This window comes from Homo sapiens, chromosome 17, assembly GCF_000001405.40.
Source record: "Homo sapiens chromosome 17, GRCh38.p14 Primary Assembly".
Taxonomy (NCBI): Eukaryota; Metazoa; Chordata; class Mammalia; order Primates; family Hominidae; genus Homo; species Homo sapiens.
The window spans coordinates 69,082,414-69,103,004 of NC_000017.11; the positions used below are offsets into that span (position 1 = coordinate 69,082,414).

A 20,591-nucleotide genomic window follows, 5' to 3' on the forward strand; every position below is an offset into this window, starting at 1 on the left:
ATTTTAAGGTATGAAAATTCCATTAAAGAAAGACTCTTTGATTATCTCAATTGCCATTTGTTTCCTATGGGGAAAATTCACCCTAAATATTTACATCTTTTAAATTTTAAATATTTATATATGTTAAGCGTTTATGAGGAGGCCCAGGAAGGACACCATTGTGGTCCTGTGTGGGTTTGAGTCATTAGAAGTTCCTTCTCCCAAGTCTTTCCAAGTACCCCTCTGGAGCTGGGGATCAGCCTGGGATGGCCAAGGAGAGTGTGCCTGGTCTGCCCCAGGGGACACAGCTTCCTGGGTAGGTCTCAATCTCTTATAATCTGGAATACTGAACAAATCCTTTTCTGAGGTCCCTAACTTTTATTATGAAGCCAAATCACTATGAAGTTCTCACACAGCAAAAAGGAAACCACTGAGTGGATAAACCCTCCATATTTCTCCATAATCAAAAGCCCGTCTCACCTTTCCTGCCCTGCAGCCTGTGGGAAAAGCTTCAGAATCTCAGTGTGGACCAAAGTCACTTGAGACGTTTCCTTCACTTTTAGCTCTAGAATGTAATCCTTGCCAAGTTTGTTTTTCAGGTGTTGGATGGAGCCAATGCATCTATGGGCAAGAAAGAGAATATGTTGGAAAAAATATTGCCCTTAATTTTTTAATGTTATTCTTAAATTTCAAATGTAGAAGAAAAGGTGTCACCAAGGAAGCCAAACGGAAGGGCTCCAGCCACACACAGGGATTTTTGCCCTTTCCATGGGAAATCTCATTTTGAGCATCAAATGCAGGCTTCGGAGAGACACCCACCTAAGCCTTCCAGACACCATGATGGCCACACGGTCACACAAGGCTTCCGCCTCAGCCAGGTTATGGGTGGTCAGGAGGACACCTCTCTCTGTGTTTTTAACGACTGCCTGGATTGCCTGCCTGCAGTGAGCAAAAAAATTAACAGTATTTAAAATAACTAAGTGCAGAAGAAAAAAAAGATAAAATACAATATATGAATCATATTCAGATCCTAATGCAAAAAAATAGTGCAATGTAAGTACTGACTAGGTTTTTGATAACATAAATAACATTTTTAAGTATTTTTAGATGTGCTAATCATATTGTAGTTGAGTTATCTTCTGAAGATACTAACTGAAATATTTATAAATTAAAGAATATGTTGCTTTGTATTTCCTTCAAAATAATTGGAGGGTGGAGAAAGGAAGTGGGTGGAGATATAGATCAAAGGAGATTGGTTCTATTGATACCTGCTGAAACTTGTCCATGGGAATAATGGATTCATAAGCGATTCTCTACATTTGTATAAAATTACCATAACAAAGTTTTTGTTAAAGTTGGAAAAGTATCGGACAGTGACCAATATGAAACTAGATTGAAGATTTTATTATTCCAAAGGGTAAATCCTAGATGGGAAAAGTAAGTAAAAGAATAAACCCGAGAAAAACTGGAGGAACAAATTTGACAGGTCACATTAAAAAGGAAAAAAAACAAACAGGAAAATTGTGTCAGGAAGTTAATAGTCTCCCAGGAAACAAAGTAGAAGGGAAAAAAGAAGAAACAGTTATAGACATCTCAATAATTAAAAGGCAAAATATTTTTGTATTTTAACAGTCCACATTAAAAACCTAAAACCCCAAGAAAATGTTGGGTCTTTTTAACCTGAATACCACGTGAACATCATGCAGATTAGATCATCTACTGGTTAAATATTTGTTTTCCTGATAATATAAATTATTTCCACTGAATCAGGAACTAGTGGGTTTGAGGGCTGATTTTCCAAGACCAGTTAAAATATGCAACCTTCCCTAATGTGCATGCTCGCAGCTCTGGGGTATAATGATGCTCACCACATTTGCTGCTGCCCTGTGGGGTCTATGCCCGTAGATGGTTCATCCAGGAGCAAGACAGGTGAGTTTCCCAGGAGGCTCAGCACAAAACACAACTGCAATGTAGAAAAACACCCCTGTTTGCTGCCATACCACACCAGCTCTCCATAGAGCATCACACACCGCACGTACCTTTCTCGTGATTCCTGCTGTTAATTTCTGCACAGGAACATTCAGCTGCTCATGCAGTTTGAAAGCACTCACTAATCTGACAGAAAACAGAATGAGAATATCTGGTCAAGACAAGGTTTTTGGAAAATCCAAGCACACAGAACAGTAACAGCATTAGAGGGAAGTTTAGTAATATTATTGTCAAAATCCTAACTCATAATTTTAAAAAAGAGATTGGTTTATTTTGGAACATGAAAGACTTTTTTTTTTTTTTGCCTCATAAACAGTTTTAGGAAAAACTAGAATTCTGAATGAGAAACTGACAATGGATGATTATTTCATTTCCAGGTTTTTTAAATTAGAAAACTGAAATGGATGACGATTCATGGTGATTCGTTCACTTATTCCTTGTCAATTATTTTATATAATCATTTTTTAAAGATCTCTCATTCAGGGATGCAGGAAGTCAGGTCTTGTCCCTCATCCCTGCTCTGCCACTGACACTCTGGAAAGGTGGAGATAGCATATTGACTCTCGGTTCTTTATTAGTGAATTCATCATCAGTGCTACAGTCTCCCTGCATTCTGACACAAAGGAATCGCAGGTCCCGTCTGTACCTTGCGATGGCGAGCCTCGCGTCCGCTTTCCTGAGCCCCTTGACGGCAGCATACACCTCCAGGTGTTCCCTCAACGTCAGCATGGGCCACAGCACGTTCTCTTGAGGGCAGTACCCCAGGTGGCCCAAAACTGAACTGCAGCCTTTCAGTTCCACCTAAAAAAATAAAAGAGCTTTAGAAAGGCATGCAGCCTTTATTCCAATAGCGTAATTACTCCAGAAACTGACATATATAAGCGTCTAAATTGTTTAAGCATCAAATAAATACTATAGAAATTACTTCATATATTTATTACAGAAAATGATTTAAAGTACAAATATAAAAATATAGTTTTACATGCAGAGAAGAAAAGAGACCTAATAAGCTCAGGTAGTTCTTGAGAAACTGATGAGTAAAAGGTAATTGGTTTCTGGTAAGATTCCAAGTCCTGTTATAAACACCTGATGCCCAGTAAAAATTTAAAGAGGGGAAAAATAAAATTTATCCAAAGGCAAAAAAAAAAAAAAAAGAAAAGAAAAATAGTATAGTCTTACAAAGATATAATCTATACGTATCATGAAATTCCTGTTTTGGAAATGGAAACCATTTCCTCACTACCTCTCCAGCAGTTGGCTTTGTGATCCCAGATATCATTCTAATAGATGAACTTTTTCCAGCACCATTGGGTCCTAGCAATCCCAAAATTTCACCTGAAAGAAAGAATCAGACTATCAATATTGGAAGTGAAATACTGAACAACATAAACCTTTTGCTCCAGTGAAATCTTCTGAGATTTCTGCACCCTTCAGTTAGTACCATTTTGAGATTGATAACATATATGTAATCCACGTCACCAAAGCATGTTCTTTATTTTCTGTAATTATGCCAAATGTTACTGCAAAGCTAATGAATTTGATGTCAATACATCTGTCCTTTTCCCCCCAGATTACTTGTTTCAGTTGGAAATGTGTCCAACTGTTTTCCGTAATAGATGGCCGATGCACTGAGTACATGTATGAATGATTCTCAAACTTGAGAAGTTAGGGATATTTTCTTCATCCCAAATTCAACCACCTCTGTCCAAGTTACCATCATCTTTCATCCCAACTGATATAAAAGCCTCTGAACTTGTCCCCCCCAACCCAAACTGACAAACAAACAATAGCCAATCTGTAATCTTTTCAAAATATAAATTAAATATGACACAAGTCCGCTAAAAACTCTCCAATGGTATTATGCTAACTTGTATAAAACACAAACTCATTGCTGTTTTCAAAAGCTGTACCTAATCTGGCGCTGCTCAGCTCTATAGCTTTATCCCTTCCATTTATGGATGCATTCACTGGCCTCTTGGCTAGAGACACAACGTTTCCAAATGTGTCTGAGTCCCTGCCCTCACTGTTTCCTCTACCTGGATGCTCTTTGTCTAGTGGCTTCATAATTGTATTTCCAGAGTCTAAAACACTCCCTGGCACACTAAATATATATATATATATATATATATAGAATAAATGAATGAATGCTTCAGCGAGTAAAACTGTGCCTATGACATAGATGTTCGGTAGGTAGTTCTAAAAGTAATGGTAAGTTTTAAAAGGGATTATTACAGACCTTCTTGAACACAGAAAGAGATATTTCTTGCTGCTATTTTCTTCTTCCTCTTTGAAAAGCAACTTTTCTTCTGGCCTGCATATTCTTTGTGTAGACAGCTGGCAATTATAACAGGTTTCTAGAAGAGATGACAGCATGATTTTCCTCTTAAATTTCAGAGACTTTAGGTCTCTGCTGGAACCTTTCATGCCTTATGTCATAAGCCAAACCATATTTTGAGTTGAGAGTAATTCATGCTGCTAAATGTAATATGCATTCATTAATGTAGAAAATATTTCTTGCTTCTAAATAGACTGAGTTTCATGGAAGCAGCTTATTGTCTTGCCAGAAGAGGGGTGGCTAACCTCATGGAACCATCACATCTAAGTCAAATAGAGTAAACCTTAAAATCTTAATCTCTATTTAGCATTCTTCGCATTCTTCGACAAATCTAACTTAAATTATTTAACTCATGAGGTCTTGTTGGTTTTGCAATTATAGCCCTAATTATGAAAGCCCACTTTTCTCAAAAGAAAAATTAAAACCATTAGGTTTTGTGTTCTTTTTAGCTTCTAGGACACTCTGAATAAGCGGAGTGCCTTGATTATGCAGATACTTCTTTGGAGTGTCCTGGACGCATAATACAGAAATGCACCAAACTCCAAACTCTCAAAATGAAACCCAGTGTATCAAATCCTGCTCTTGACAGTTCTTGAATATCTCCATTAATATCCATTTTGCCCCTTGCTTTTTTACCTCATCTAAGATTGAAGTGGTCAGAGCAGTGGCTGTTCTTATTCTTTCTGTTTGAATATCTTCATCTTCATCTATGGGTTCTTCTGGATTTGGCTTAGCATCTCTACTTTGGGGGGAAATTCTATGGAGAAAATGAAATGTGTTACATGTGGTATTCTAGCTGTTAAAAGATGTGTCAAAAATCAGCATTCCTGTGATTTTACTACTGTCCTCTTCTCTAATGTGCAGGTGATGATGTGATGATGACTGTCAATATTGCTTCTGCTTTTGCCAAGAACTCCTGTCCCACTAGCCAGAATCCTTTTCTTAATGTTGTTGCCATTCTTCTGGTAAGAATCTTTGACCCTTTCAAATCTGTCAGCAGGTACTGCTCCTTTCTCTTTAAAATTCATGTCACTCTCATTTTCTCTACTCAGTCTGAGCTCATCTTCATCACACCAGATGTTTTTTCAACATCATTTACTGCTCACCCTTTCTACAGCCCTCCATTTTTAAAACACTCAACTATGTTGCTAAATCGATTCCTTCCCATCTTTTCTTTTCAAGGATGCACAATTATCTCAGACGAGAGAATGGCATATTTGGGTCCTTATTAAATTTTGGATGGAGTGAAGGTTTCTTACAGCTGCTTACAGCCAGAACTCTGCCTGGGAGTTCTATCTCTTGGCAGTAAGGCAGCAATCCACATTCCCTAATGACAATCAACATGTGCTTCCACTGTAAATGTAAATCTGTATTAACAAGATGATAGCACAGACACCATCTAGGAATGTTAAAATATGATATTAAGTATAAAGTTAAATTTCACCCCAACCTGAAAACAGGATCTTTTCGCATTCTTTTCTTTCCACATTTTAGTTCCATGCATCTTAGAACAAAAACGAATAGCAAAGTCTGAAAGTAGGGCTATGAGCAAAGAAATACAGTTATATTTAGGCATAAGTTCACAAATATTATTTAAATATTTGAATTAAGTTGGTGGTGTTTTGTCTTTGGGTAAATAGTTGTGGATCATTCTCATAAGCTGGGGGAGAAATGTAGCTATACATTCACAATCCAGGTTAGTGAAACCTGTTTCCTTTCTTCTCGCCACCCATATTCAGTTTGTAAGTAAATTCTATCTACTCTATCTTCAAAATTATCCATAACCCAATTATTTCTCACCCCTACTCATGATACTCCCACCCAGGCCTAGGTCATTATAATGTCTCACCTGGATTGTTGCAACCCCTTCCTACTTGGGCTATCTCTGCCCCTCTTGTTCTAAACATCTGTTCTCAATACAGTATCCTGAGCTACTTTTTTAATACATAAGCCTGAACTTATCACTGTGCTTAAAACCCTCCAATGACTCCTCCTCCATCACTCAGAGTAGAGTCAAAGCCTTTAGAGTAATCTAGATTACCCTGTGTGACCCTTTCTCCTGACCTCTCGCTTTATCCCATGACTTCTGTGGCCATCTTTCTTATCACTCTCTTCCTTGGTCATTCAGTCACAACCACACTGGCCTGGCTGACCCTGGATTGAGCCGGGGTCACTCTTGCCACTTCCTACTGAAGTGCTCTTCTCGAAGCCTTTCCTGACCACCCATCTGACACCACACATATTATCCATTTAGTTTATTATCCATGTCCTTCCACCAGAATATAAGCTCCATGAGGGCAGGGACCGCTGTCTTTATTTTCTCCTGTACCTAGAAAAGTACTGACACATAGGATTCAAAGACAGTAGTTCCCTTCAGCCTAAATACACCAAAATAATCATTTTCCCTTTCACTTTTATTATTCAGTTCTTGCCTTTTTAATCTATTATTCAAAGGAAGTAAGTTATATTGCATCTCTATTTTTTACAAGCTCTCTCAAATTTAGAGGAGGGACAGTAAACAGGATAAGCAAACAAAAAATTAATTTAATATTAACTTTTGGACACATATAGCCAATCCAAGCATGTAAAAAGTAACTCTAAGGTTTAGAAACATGTCTGAAGGTAAGTGCTTTATCTAAGATCATATAAAAACACTTTCAAAATGGCACACTTTGGACAAGATCAAATTGTTATAGTGAATGACAGTCATCCAAAAGAATGTGTGCTGAGGTGGAAAGCCCTTCTTACTATGAAGCAGACTAGAAAATCAGTGGCACTCAATTCAAAATTTGCCTCTGGAAATTCTCTGTAGTGCTCCTGGTCTCTCTGAAAAGACAAAACAAAACACACACACACTAATGATAATTCATCTGCTTTATGATTTGCACTTAAATAATATAAAATTCACATATTGAATATTTTCCTCATAGATCTCAATTTCTTTGTGTGCACTAGTGACAAAGTAATTCCCCACAGAAAAGAGAACCTCCTACTCAACTCTTACTGTCTCTCAATAAGCAAGTAACCTATGTCTGTTCCTCTCTTCAATTCTTTGTTTAAAAAAATTTGGTTTTAACATTTGCAGAAAGCATATGTTATTACTGAAGCATATGTTATTACTGAAACAGTAATATGCTATTACTGAAAGCATAGCAGAGAGAGGTGCTGGCACTGGTAAAATTTCTGGGGGTTGACAATATTTTTCTTAAGTGCCACAGACAAGCCTTTTCAGAGCCCCTTCTTATCCCAATGGTGACTATTTTCCCATAATGATAATTAGTTCCAGCACGTTATTCTTTCTTCATCAATCAGTTCATTCAGAAAGTTACTCATTCCTCCTATATAATACATGACAGATCAAGATGAATGTATTTCACCTTGCAGGTCTACTTAGGAGGAAAATGCTTTAAGCAAAGGGATTAGTTTCTAATCGAGAACTTCAGGCATTGCTCAGCCAATGGAGATGTATTTTTGCAAATGGAAGGCTTTTCCAGTTCGCCAAGGACACCCCTGATTACAGAAGCCCTCTTTACTTTCCTTAAAGCCATTTCATCCAGAGTGGTACAGAGCTCCAAAAAGTGTGTTCTCCACTTAACTTTCTTGCCCTGGCCTCATCGTATACTTTTCTCCACTTGAACCACATTCAGTTTCTTTAATGCCTCCTGGCTTTTCCTGCTTCAAGGCCTTTGCTTTCCTCTGCAGAACATGCTTACCTCCTGTCCCATTAACTAATTATTATTCATCCTTTAGCCATGTATTTAAATATAACGTCCCCAGAAGAATTGTCTGACTCGCTAGAACACACCAGCTGTGCCTTGTGTGTCCTCCCTTGGCCCTTTGCCCTTGTCCTTTGTAACATTTAAGTTTCTTGTATTAACTTGAGTAAGTTTGGTCTGCCTTTGCCTCCACTAAGCTTTGGGAAAGTCAGGACTGTGCTATCTTGCTCATCAGGTGTCCCCAGTTACTAGCACAGTGACTAACAGAGAATAGTATTTGATATATATTTTTGAATGATTGAATGGAATCGCATATGAGTTTATCCTCAGCGGCTAACAAATTACCTGTCAAACCAAGCACATTTTTCCCCCAATCTGGCATTACCCATATTTGAATGGCATTTGACAATGCCTATATTTTGCAAAGTGAATAGGACAAAAGTTTAAATGTTTTATTGAGATTTAATTTTGCATCTGATAAAATTCACTCATTTTAAGAGTAGAACTCAAGGATGTTTAGTAAGCTTACAGAGTTGTGCAAGCATCACCACGATTCCCCTTTTGAACATTTTCATCATCCCCCCAAAATCTCTTATGCCCATTTGCTGTTACTCCCCAGTTCCACTACTTTCTGTCTCTCTTGATCTGGGAAAAGCACTTTAATAAGCTACATATTCAAAATTAATGACACAGTTGGTAACATTTCTTACCACTTCCAAAAAAGTTTTAAATCCAAGCAAGGTATATGAAGGAACCAATACCATGGTGGTAATCAATATACTTAGGTCAAAATGATTGATTAAAGTGATGGAAAACATGATGGTGGAGGCCTACAAGGCAAGTTCAAATATATTGTATCAGACATACTCAACCCATTGATATTTTGTAAAACATTTAAGATGCAGGTGTTCTCATGATGTATATCATAATGTTCCCATATGCAGATATACCCATTTGACAATGATAGTTTCTCCTTTTAGAGACAATAGGGAAGAAGCTTTTGTTAACAAGAATACATTATGATCCCCAATAGAAAATTCTTAATAAAGACTGGCGACTAAGGTGAAAGCTAAAATGACCAAATAGACTTCTTTTTTTTTTTTTTTTTGAGACGGAGTCTCGCTCTGTCGCCCAGGCTGGAGTGCAGTGGCGGGATCTCGGCTCACTGCAAGCTCCGCCTCCCGGGTTCACGCCATTCTCCTGCCTCAGCCTCCCGAGTAGCTGGGACTACAGGCGCCCGCCACTACGCCCGGCTAATTTTTTGTATTTTTAGTAGAGACGGGGTTTCACCGTTTTAGCCGGGATGGTCTCGATCTCCTGACCTCGTGATCCGCCCGCCTCGGCCTCCCAAAGTGCTGGGATTACAGGCGTGAGCCACCGCGCCCGGCCCCAAATAGACTTCTTGACGTGTATTATTAAATTTAATCCAAGACAAGAGGATAGAGGGATTACCTTTTTATGGCTAAGGTAACAATATTGCTAATGAATAAAAACCTGTATATGTTGAAAGTTACATGGCTATTATAAAAAAAAACCAAACAATCCATACTGTCTCTCAACCAGACTACTGTGGAGCTTTCTCATTGTCCTTCCTGCTCCATTTCTTCCCCATTCCAAACAAATGACTTTTCTGAGATTGTGTATTTTTATTGTGATGGACTTATTTTATTTTACAATTTTTTTTACTGGCAAATGGGAAGGAATAAGGATAATTTTGTTTGTTTGTTTTAAGAATCAATTGATCAGCCAAGTATGTATTGAGCACTACCCTTTCTTTCCCAGATCTTATTAATGTACTGATTATAATAAAAATAGAATCATAATTGCTAAATTCACTGAATATTACATAAATGCCAGGTTTTAATAATCTAGCATGAATTATTTAATCCTCACAACTCCATAATGTAGTACTTTTATTATCTCTCCCTTTACAAATGAGAAATCTGGGGTTCACTCTTAAGTCCTTCAGTTCACTTAGCTGACTCCTCTTATTCTACCAGACCTCCATATTTCTACAGTTTCTTTCCTCTCTTCTCATCCACTGGAACAAGAGAGGAGTCTAAACTTTGACAGTGTGAGAGGATACTCCAGAACTCCGTGTGCTAAGATGTGCTACTATACCTCCACCACACAGCATAATAGGCTGAAAAGATACTTCCTTATCAGGCAGGGGTCTAGGGTACCAGTAAAGCACCACAACCCTGGGGGTATGGAATTCCACTGGACTCTAGAAACAAATTAACTACTGACTGTGGCTTCACTCAATGATGGAGAAACATTGCCTACACTGTCCTTCCAAATGGATCCCAGATCACCAAAGGACAACTGCATTGAATATCAACATACTATACCTTCTGACATATGATCCTGTGAGGAGTAAACAAATTGCCTTAGTCCTAGGACTAGCATCGTTTAAGTTGATACTAGCTGTACAATGATAAATTCTCACAACATATATTTTCAACACATATTTAGAAATAAATTATAAGTTATTTGTATGCAAATGCAAATTTTAGTGCAAACTGCTTGAGGTCTTTGTGAAGAGGTATAATTTTAAAACTTTTTAGCCTACTGAAATCAAGATGTGTTCATCAGCACAAGTTCTGAATCAGTATTGCCAACCATGCTACTGTCTCATATTTTTTAACATGAGGAATGACATAAGGTCTGAGACTTCAAGTTTATTCCTGAGCCTGTCACTACTTTTTGTGTTTTTCTGAGCAAGTTACTAAATTTTTTCCTCTATTGAAGTAGGAAATTAAGAAAATAACAGAATAATGGCATAAGTAATAATAGTGAAAATTATAGTAACAGAAAAATAACAATAGCTCATAGAATGAATTGCTGTATTAACCAAGGCTGAAAAGAATTTAAGTTGCGCACCCCCACCTCCGCCGAAGTTAAAGTTAAAAGAGAATACTAACTGTCCCAAGAAACATTAACCATATCTACTTCCCACATATTCTGTAAGTTCTGTAAGTCCCTGTTTTTCTTGCTGTGCAGCTGCAAGGTCACAAGATAAGTAAGTGAAAGTTAAATTGCAACTCATATTTTTCCTAAGATGCAAGTCATGGCATAAATGATAAACAGCCTTTGTTCTCACTTCTGCAAACCTGCTTCCTGCTTCAAGTTTTTCCCGCCCCAAAATGCTTAAAAGTTGCTCGCTTTCTTTGTTAGGGGCTCAGACTTTCAGGACACATGTCTGCTGAGCCGATATACACCTAAAATAAAAGCTCTCCTGTATCCCGATCGGTCTCTCTAGTTCCTTAATTTCCTGCAACACTATAAAATTTGGTAAATCATACTAGACAATTTTGAATTTCTTTCAAGTCTGACATTCCACCATTCTAGAAATATGTAGATTCCTTTCAGTGATAGAAAAATGAAATAAATAAATATACTGAAATAGATAAGCATAAGAAGGGCAAAGGAAAAACAATCAGAAATTACAAATATATAAATACATATTTTACTATTACACTGCGGTGTAATTTTGTTTTTATATTTTGAACAGTCTTTGTTTTCCAAAACGTACCTTGCCTCTGGAATATTGTCTTGCCTTATTTGAATCCATAACAACTTAAGCATAAATGGCAGCAAAGGATAAAAGGCATGCAATCATACGTGTATGTGTTTTGATTTTAAAAATACAGTGTTTCTCAGTGTCATGTCTGATTTTCTGCTGTGATCTTTTATTTGTGATAATTTTTTCAAATCACAGTGAGAACACCTTAATCACCATGTTAGTTCACAAGCCTAAGAAGTGGTTCTGCATTATCATCTTTCCTTAGAAAGAACAAAGTCAAATTTCTTCTTTTGTTCATCTATTCACTTGCTGCCGTATATACAAGGGGCATTCATAATATGATAATGCAGATTCTGTCTTCTGCCATTTTTTGAAGGAAAGTTCCTCTCACTGGACTCTCACTCCTTACTCCACAATGGGAAAATGGTTTCTGCTCTCTAAGCCTAGAGATGAAACTTATTGTTTTGGAAGATTCTGGCCTATTAAGTTCTAGAAGTTCTGTCACAGTCTATGGAATTGATGCACAGATTTGAAATCCTGGAACTTGGCTGAGAAAATCTTGTCTATAATGTTTTCCAACCCAAAGCATCACTATGGAGCCTGCAGCCATGAGGAAATTAAACCTGCTCAGCTTCTCCACTAAAAGCTAAAAGGCAAGGGCTGAGGTATGTTTCTATCACTGATGCTGAATGCTCTCTTGTCTGAGAAATTTCCAGCTCTATACAAACTGGGATAAGTTGTGAGTATACGGTAAGCCAGGGGCAACTATTTCATGAGGCACATAGCAAAAAATGTGTCCATCTAGATGTGCATTTGTTCCAGTTTGGAATGATTTCTGTGTAATAAGGGTCAACACAAGGAGTGGCAAAAGCCACAAAAGGAAGCTTGATTCCAGCATGCTGTTTACTTAGGACTGAAGGACAAGCTGCTGAAAAAGCATCTATGAGGGGCACTCACTAGGGCATCTGCAGCATCACTCAGGCTGGCAGGAGCAGACCCATGCGCAACCACGCTGGACAATAACCCTGACATTTCTTGGCTATCACCTCCAAGGTAGACTTCGTTCAGAGCTAAAACTACTGGCAAACACTAAGAATGAATGTGAATTCTTTGTTCACCTTTGCTAGACAGATACAAGAGTGCTGACTGAAAAGAAACCAACCAAGTGTCAGTAAGACTCTCTTCTACAGACATCTGATCTAGCACCTGAGATTACACTGGACAATGGCAGTAAGTCTGTTGACTGAACAAAAAATAGTCTCCATGGAAAGGATAAATGGAAAGACCTTTTGTGCACCAGATCCTCATGGCTGCCTCAAAGCCAGTTTTTCCGAGTAAGGTGAGCCTAATGTTCTTTCTGTAGCCTCTGTACTTCCACTGGATTGTGCTGATGGTGGTAAGAGATATAGTTATAGACACTGTTTGCTGAATACAAAGAAATATAGCCCAGAGAAGTCAAACCCAAGTGCTGTCCACTGAGAAGGAACAACAGCTACCTGCTGGCCAAAAGAGTCCCAGACTAATTTCTTGTAGAAGTCAGTGGGTCGTATAGGTTGGTGCAAAAGTAATTGCGGTTTTGACATTACTTTAAATAGCAAAAAAAACGCAATTGCTCTTGCACCAACCTAATATTAAATATATCATTTCTTATAGATGATCTTTGGTTGGGTTCTTCTCATGGATTCAAGATTCCCATTCCAAGAGTTGAGAGCTGTTTTCCAGACAGACATTCAATCACCAGTTGAGGATATCAGTTAAAGGAGGCCTGAAGTGTAGGACTCAGGGCACTCTGGTGTCTCTAGAATTTCAGCAAACATTTCCAGCAAAGTTTTCCATGATTTTGGACAAGCTCTTTACTTTTATACTAACAAGTAACCTGGCATAAGTATAAAACATCTTTAGTATCTGAAACTATTAGCAGCTAAGGTTAAGAGAGACCTTCTTGAAGACTGTAGAGATGGGTTGTAATGTCAACTGTTAGGAAGCCAATTTTCTAGTGTTGGCAGGAAGCCCTGTATTCTGGAGACATAAACTCAACAGGACGTTTCAGACGTCAGGTCTTCTGTAAGATTCTCCATAAATTCTGTTCAATGGGTAGCACCTGATTTCTTTAGAAATATTATTGATTCAGTAACAGTGTTACACTTCCCTCTCTTTTCTATGGTGTAATTTTGAAGTATTAATTTTCCCTACTGTCTTAAGGCAGACATCTGTATTTAAGATTACATTAGAAGTTTAAAAAATAACACTATTTCTCTATTTGTATGTATTATATACTTACAAAAAAGAAGTAAAATGACCAAAGGCCACTGTTTTTTCTCCTTTTGCGAAAAATAAATGATATCATATATATGAAGAAGACAAGAGAAGCTGCATAACCAGGAGTAACTATAACCTGAGCATAAAAGAAATAATAACATAGTCAAAAAATCAAATATTACTGAGGGAAAAATTAGATTACAACTTTTAAAAAACAAGTAACCTGGCATAAGTATAAAACATCTTTGGTATCTGAAACTATTAGTATTTATCATACATGCACTTTGCATGTTTTTTGTTTTGGTTTATTACAAAATATGAATTAAAACATCTTAACTACTTAAAATAACAATGTTAAAATTTATTATTAATTACTTTATGAAATTTGGTTTATGTACTGTGTTACTTACCAAAGCAAACACAATTTGGCTTGTAATAAGAAGGTACTGCATGTTTTCTATGTAGAAAATTAAATACATTAAAAGGAGAATTAAAATGAAGAAGCTGACGTCCACTAGTGCCTGCCCACACCAGTAAGCAGAAGTGTAGAGGCCTGAAATCCATAGCTGGGACTTAGCATTTTTCTGATTAAAAAAAAAAAGAAAGAAAGAAATGTATATAGATTCAATTAAAATGCAAATCTAAAATAAACACAAACACATTGGAAGAATTTTTAAGATAAATATAATCTAATCTTCTAATATTAAAAAAAATTATGCATATACTGCTTAGTAACATGAGGCTTATAGAGCCAGTTCCATGGTTTACAAGGTGTCTATCAAAAATAAAATGTATACTGTGATAGGCCTGACTCATAACACAACTTTAGCTCATGAATAATGAAAAGTGGACCTCATAATGTTCAAGGCATTAAACTCTATAAAAATAAGTATTGGCCAGCATGGTGGCTCACGCCTGTAATCCCAGCACTTTGGGAGGCCAAGGCGGGTGGATCACAAGGTCAGGGGATTGAGGCCATCCTGGCTAACATGGTGAAAGCCCATTTTGACTAAAAACACAAAAAGTAGTTGGGCATGGTGGTGCAAGCCTGTAATCCCATCTACTCAGGAGGCTGAGGCAGAAGAACTGCTTGAACCCGGGAGGCGGAGTTTGCAGTGAACCGATTTTGCACCATTGCACTCCAGCCTGGGCAACAGAGTGAGACTCCATCTCAAAAAAAAAAAAAAAAAAGTATTATTTTGTGACCTGGAGGACATAATACATTTACCTTTACCTAAACATCTTGGAGAGTTTCTGGCTCAGGATGGTGAACGTTGATAGATTTAACTGCTTTGTCTGAATAATGGGCATAATCGAATACAAATATAACATAAAATTGCAATTTCCAGAGTGGAAAAGGAATTCAAGTCTTAAATTTGGCCTTTGATTTCAACATCAATGATTTCCTTCTTGTGGCTGGGAAATAATGTGGTCAAAAGATTTATAATATTTCCCTTTGAAGGTTTAGACTAATTGGAGTCTCTGAAAAATCACTGTACTTTTCAGGTGACTTTGGAATAAAAAGCATTTTGAGTTTTTAGAAGTAAATTATCTGACTTGCCAAGAATAAGGTTTAGCTACAATATCTAAATTAAACATACATTCAAATGTTTTTGTCAGAAGAAAACATTTTGAACACATAGCATTCAAAATACAGATATTGAAATTCCTGAAATTTCTTCTTTTCCCTGCTTTTTCTTACCTTGTAATCACTGATGCTGCCCATGGTGATATAAGGAGAAATGCTACATAGAACCAAAAATAAGAAAAAGGAACCATCCGGCAACCCAGTCCAGAGTCCTATGTGGCTCTGAAAATATAAAGGGTAGCTTAAACTAGTGAATATTTGTTAAATGAAACAAATAATTATAGCCACAAAAATGCACTTTTTGAAATGTTGAAAAATCAAAGTAAAGGTGTAGCTCATTACCATCTAGGCACGAAGGTGGGAGGGAAAGTGACTCTGATCTTCAACTCAAAGAACAAAGAGAAGTCAAAAGTCATTTAGGACCTACTTCTGGGGATATTTCCAAAAGAATTGAAAGCAAGCTCTCGAAGAGATACCCTCACATTCATATTCATACCAACAATACTCACAAGTGGAAGCAACCCAAAAGTCCAAATTAATGGATTAACAAAATGTGTATGTATATACAAACAATGGATACTATTCAACCTTAAAAAGGATCACTTGAGGTCAGGAGTCTGAACCAGCCTGACCAACATGGTGAAACCCCATCTCTACTAAAAATACAAAATCAGCCAGGTGTGGTGGTAAATGTCTGTAATCCCAGCAACTTGGGAGGCTGAGGCAGGAGAATCGCTTGAATCTGGGAGGCAGAGGTTGCAGTGAGCAGAGATCGCCCCATTGCACTGCAGCCTGAGCAACAAGAACAAAACTCGGTCTCAAAAAAAAAAAAAAAAAAAAAAGAAGGAAATCCTGTCACATGCTACAACATAGACGAACCTGGAAAATATGCTAAGTGAAATAAACCAGTTACAAAAAGACAAATATTCCACTTATATAAGGTTTCTAAACTAGTAATATTCATAGAAACATAATAGGATGGTTATTTCCAGGGGATGGGGGAGGGGGAAAGCTAATTGGCATCGAGTTTCAATTCCGCAAGACGGCAAAGTTCTGGAGATGCATTTCACAACAATGTGAATATACTTAATACTACTCAACTGTACACTTGCAAACAGCTAAAATGGTCAATTTTATATCATGTATTATTACCACAACAAAAAAACAATAATTCAGAAGTTAGGACCTCTGATGAACATATAATTCAGGCCTGAGTAGCACGTCTTTCTGAGCAAACCCAGAGATGGAAACCTCAGTAGCTGGGTGGATGTGTTCTGAAGCACAGAACCAAGAAGAAAACTTGTTGCTGCTTGTCTTAACTTCAGGGAAAGGAACTTTAAATCACTACCCCCAAATCAGCATCCACTTGAGGCTAGGCCAAGTGGACACTCTAGCAGCATCTAGGACCACCTCATGGATATAATTACAGGATAACAGCATGAGCCTGTCTCAAAATAATTCCACAATTATTTAACTTTATTTAAGACTTTGAGGGCTATGTCTATAAATTCTGTTTTTCATCATAGGAATGAGGGAGGAAAGGTGTGTGCCATGGGGAAGTGGGAGTGGGGAACAGGTTTCTAATAGAGTAGCTATGGGCTTCAGTCCATTTTGATCCTGAGCAAACACAATGGCATTAGGAAGCTAATAATTCAGAAGTTAGGACCTTTGATGAACACATAATTCAGGCCTGAGCAGCATGTCTTTCTGAGCAAACCCAGAGATGGAAACCTCAGTAGCTGGGTGGATGTGTTCTTTTGAAGGATAGCAGCATAAGCCTGTCTCAAAATAATTCTGCAGTGAGACAGGTTCATGCTGCTATCGTTCCAAAGAGGAAGGGTAATCACTGTCTCTTTCTGCTACTCCTCTGGTTCCACTTTCTGGAGAATTCCCTTCAGACACCCCTTCCCTCGAGTCATCCTGTGCAGCAGACCTGTTTACGTGATCAGTCGGTCATACTCAACTCACGGAGGTATGTGTCTGTCACGAACATCTCAAGTACTGTATATTTCATCCCCATTGTTCCCATGGCTTACAGAAAACCTGTGCTTGCATATACTCCCAGCACCACTGATTCAGTGAAGCCAAAACTGAGCTTCACACTTTTGTCACAAAATGGACTTCCCTTTGGATGGCTTCATTTCTAATCCTGCTTCTTGATGTTTCAGACTTCTGGTGTGAAACAGTTGGAGTCAGCTTTGAGACACCCCTGTTGGTATCAGGCAGGGTCTAACCAGAAAACCATGACTACGTTAAGTTCTTAGAGTGCAATTCCTTATGACATGGTTAGGTGGGTGATGAGCATCCCACAAAGATGGTGAAGTGAGAAGCAAGCTATTGTTGCTTCTGGGCTTCAGGAACAGCAGAAGGAGGTGATGTGACTGGAGCCCAATGTAGGGGGTCCTCTGCTCTTCTGTCTCCCACCACTGCTTTCTAGTGTCCAAACTGTCTGAAGCCAGACTATAGCCAACTGACACAGAATCCAATGCAGCCTGTGTGTATTAGGCTCCCTCACAACATAGAGCAACTATGAGTAGGTGAATAAATAAATCAACAGATAGCCCCAGAACTGGCAGATTCTCCTTCATATTAGTCTGTCTACTACACATTTAGTCAATGGAGGGTCCACTAACTAATTATAATAGATTTATATGTAACCAGGGTTACAAGTTCTCCTGATTTCCAAGTCAGTGTTTTCTTTTTTCTGTTTCTCTTTCTCATACACTTCCACAATCAAGTATGTACAACTTTTCAAAACATTGCCTAGAAGACTGACAAAATATTGAAAAGTATTCCCTCACGATAATTATCTGATAACTTGGCAGGAAAAAAAAATCCTGTTTTGTTTGCTATAACCCATTGAAAATATTAGGATAAAATAATAATTTTCAGGCTTAACAATCACTTATGGATATTTAAAAGCTAAAGAGAGAAAACATAGGCTATTTGTCCAATTCTTAATTGTTTAGACTCAGTAAATCCAATACTTACAAGAGGAAATGGGCTTGACTCAATTCGAATATGTTGTGTGTGATTAAACATTTGAAGTAGCCCATTGCTGATAATATTCATAAGAATTGGAAAACAGTGCAATCTCTTGGTATTACACACAACTGAAAATCTATAATCCTTAAAACAGAAACAAATAAATAATGTTAATGCTAAATTCTTAAAGAACAAAGGCAAGGTTTATGTATAAAAGATCCTAACAGTGCCACATGCTTGTTGTGTGTCCATCTTCAAGTGAACTAAACTTTCTGAGCTTTACCTTCCTCATCTATGAAAAGGAAATACTAAATGGGTTGTTATAGGGCTTAAATGACACTCTATTCATGTACATTAAGCTCTAGCACAGAGTCAGCATACAATCAATATGAATTTTTATTTGTATTACTAATTTTAGATAATTTTGTCTCCATTTTGCTGATGGGGAAATTTCATTTAGTAGAGTTTAAAAGTCTCCCTGACAAGGAGATGCTGTCAGTTTATGATGAAGAAGCAAAGGAAGATTGGGCATGGTGGCTCACACCTGTAATTCTAGCACTTTGGGAGGCCAAGGCGGGCAGATCACTTGAGGTTAGGAGTTTGAGACTAGCCTGGCCAACATAGCAAAACCCTATGTTTACTAAAAAATACAAAAATTAGCCAGGTGTGGTGGCACACATCTGTAATCCCAGCTACTTGGAAGGCTGAGGCAGAAGAATCACTTAAACTCAGAAGGCAGAGGTTGTAGTGAGCTGCGATCACACCACTGCACTCCAGCCTGGGTGACAGAGCGAGACTCTGTCTCAAAAAAAAAAAAAAAAGCAGCAGCAGCAGCAAAGGAATGCTGGCCTTCTGGATAGGAGATAAGCATGGAGTTCATTAAATATTCATCCTTACCCTGCCAAAGAAGCATTTCCCCACTTCCTAAAGCAATCTTTATATTTATGTACTTCATGTTTAGGAAAATGTTCATTAATCTATTAGAAGGTTTATTGTTTAAATCTTACCACTAGTTCATGTAGTAAATATGTGAGGTATGTAACGTAGTAGCTGACAAAGTAATTTCCCAAAACTGGCACAAAGCGATTACATTTTTTATAGCATATTTAGTTTATGTAGAACGGAATTCAGTAATACAACTTCAAAGGCTTTTCTTTTTTAAAAATTTACTTTGTAGCATGAAATAAAGAGGGAGCTTCACTTAATTAGGCCCCTTGCTTTTATTAGAATGCAAATAAGACTGAAGAGTTCTTAACATTAAGATGTATTTTTAAACCGAGCACGGTAGCTTATGCCTGTAATCCCAGCATTTTGGGAGGCCAAGGCGGGAGGATCACCCAAGGTCAGGAGTTCCAGACCAGCCTGGCCAACATGATGAAACCCACTCTCTACCAAATATTCAAAAATTAGCTGGGCATGGTGGTGCCTGCTTGTAATTCCAGCTACTCTGGAGGCTGAGGCAGGAGTCACTGGAACATGGGAGGCAGAGGTGTAGTGAACCAAGATACTGCCACTGAGCTCCAGCCTGGGTAACACAGCAAGACTCTGCCTCAAAAAAAGTATTTTCAATAGTCTTGTTCTCTAATGAATCTCTATGGCTTGACTCTTTTACCCAAATCGACATATGCTAAGGTAGCAGACTGAGAATACTTTTTTCTCAGTTATTTCGTGTAGATATTATAGTATTTAATGTATTTTCTCAATATATAAAAACAAACTTTATTCAGGTAGTTAGCTACTGAATAAAATTCCTTAAATCCATAATTATATTGGTTGATAATTATAAGCTATAATATTTTTATTGAGTTTAAACAGTACAATTAAATTTAGATCCTTTCAAATGTAAAAGTTATCTAATTCAAAACAAAACTAAGATAGAAAATGTTTTACAAAAACTTAGGTAAACTTCACAGTTTATTAAATAACAACCCAGAATGTTTTTCTGAGTCAAGTTTCTGTATACTAGCTTTAATTTCTGCAGTTTTAAAACAGCTAAAATGTAGTACTTTTTGTTTTTTTCATAAAAGCAAAAAGGCAAACATACCTTTTGTTTACCAGAAACTATGATAGCTCCATTGTATGAGAGGCCATCAGTACCATTTCTGTTTTCAAAGTCATCTACTTCCAAAAGTATATTTTGATGCTTCAGTGATTTTATAAAATCTTCAATATTTGATTCTAATATGAAGTTAATAAGAGAAGGCCATAGAAAAG

General features: G+C 37.5%; 1 protein-coding gene, 2 non-coding genes and 1 pseudogene across 3 annotated transcripts in view; 1 reads left to right on the forward strand and 3 right to left on the reverse strand.

Annotated features, from left to right (window-relative positions):
• The window catches only part of ABCA6 (ATP binding cassette subfamily A member 6), a 63,194-nt gene that overhangs the window by 3,712 nt on the left and 38,891 nt on the right, over positions 1–20,591 (reverse strand). Inside the window, exons 21-36 of the mRNA NM_080284.3 lie at positions 20,422–20,555; positions 18,384–18,521; positions 15,507–15,614; positions 14,215–14,388; positions 13,827–13,940; positions 8,730–8,849; positions 7,052–7,129; positions 5,754–5,845; positions 4,940–5,060; positions 4,205–4,322; positions 3,212–3,303; positions 2,615–2,769; positions 2,019–2,094; positions 1,848–1,942; positions 799–918; positions 460–600 (exon numbers count right to left, since the gene is read on the reverse strand). Coding sequence (NP_525023.2) covers positions 460–600; positions 799–918; positions 1,848–1,942; positions 2,019–2,094; positions 2,615–2,769; positions 3,212–3,303; positions 4,205–4,322; positions 4,940–5,060; positions 5,754–5,845; positions 7,052–7,129; positions 8,730–8,849; positions 13,827–13,940; positions 14,215–14,388; positions 15,507–15,614; positions 18,384–18,521; positions 20,422–20,555 — 1,876 coding nt within the window. The remainder of the gene's footprint in view (positions 1–459; positions 601–798; positions 919–1,847; positions 1,943–2,018; positions 2,095–2,614; positions 2,770–3,211; positions 3,304–4,204; positions 4,323–4,939; positions 5,061–5,753; positions 5,846–7,051; positions 7,130–8,729; positions 8,850–13,826; positions 13,941–14,214; positions 14,389–15,506; positions 15,615–18,383; positions 18,522–20,421; positions 20,556–20,591) is intronic.
• On the reverse strand, positions 11,687–13,093 carry SEC24AP1 (SEC24 homolog A pseudogene 1; annotated as a pseudogene).
• Positions 17,129–17,243, forward strand: MIR4524B (microRNA 4524b). Its single transcript, NR_049834.1, has one exon. It is a non-coding gene; the product is annotated as a microRNA 4524b (primary transcript).
• On the reverse strand, positions 17,151–17,219 carry MIR4524A (microRNA 4524a). Its single transcript, NR_039750.1, has one exon. It is a non-coding gene; the product is annotated as a microRNA 4524a (primary transcript).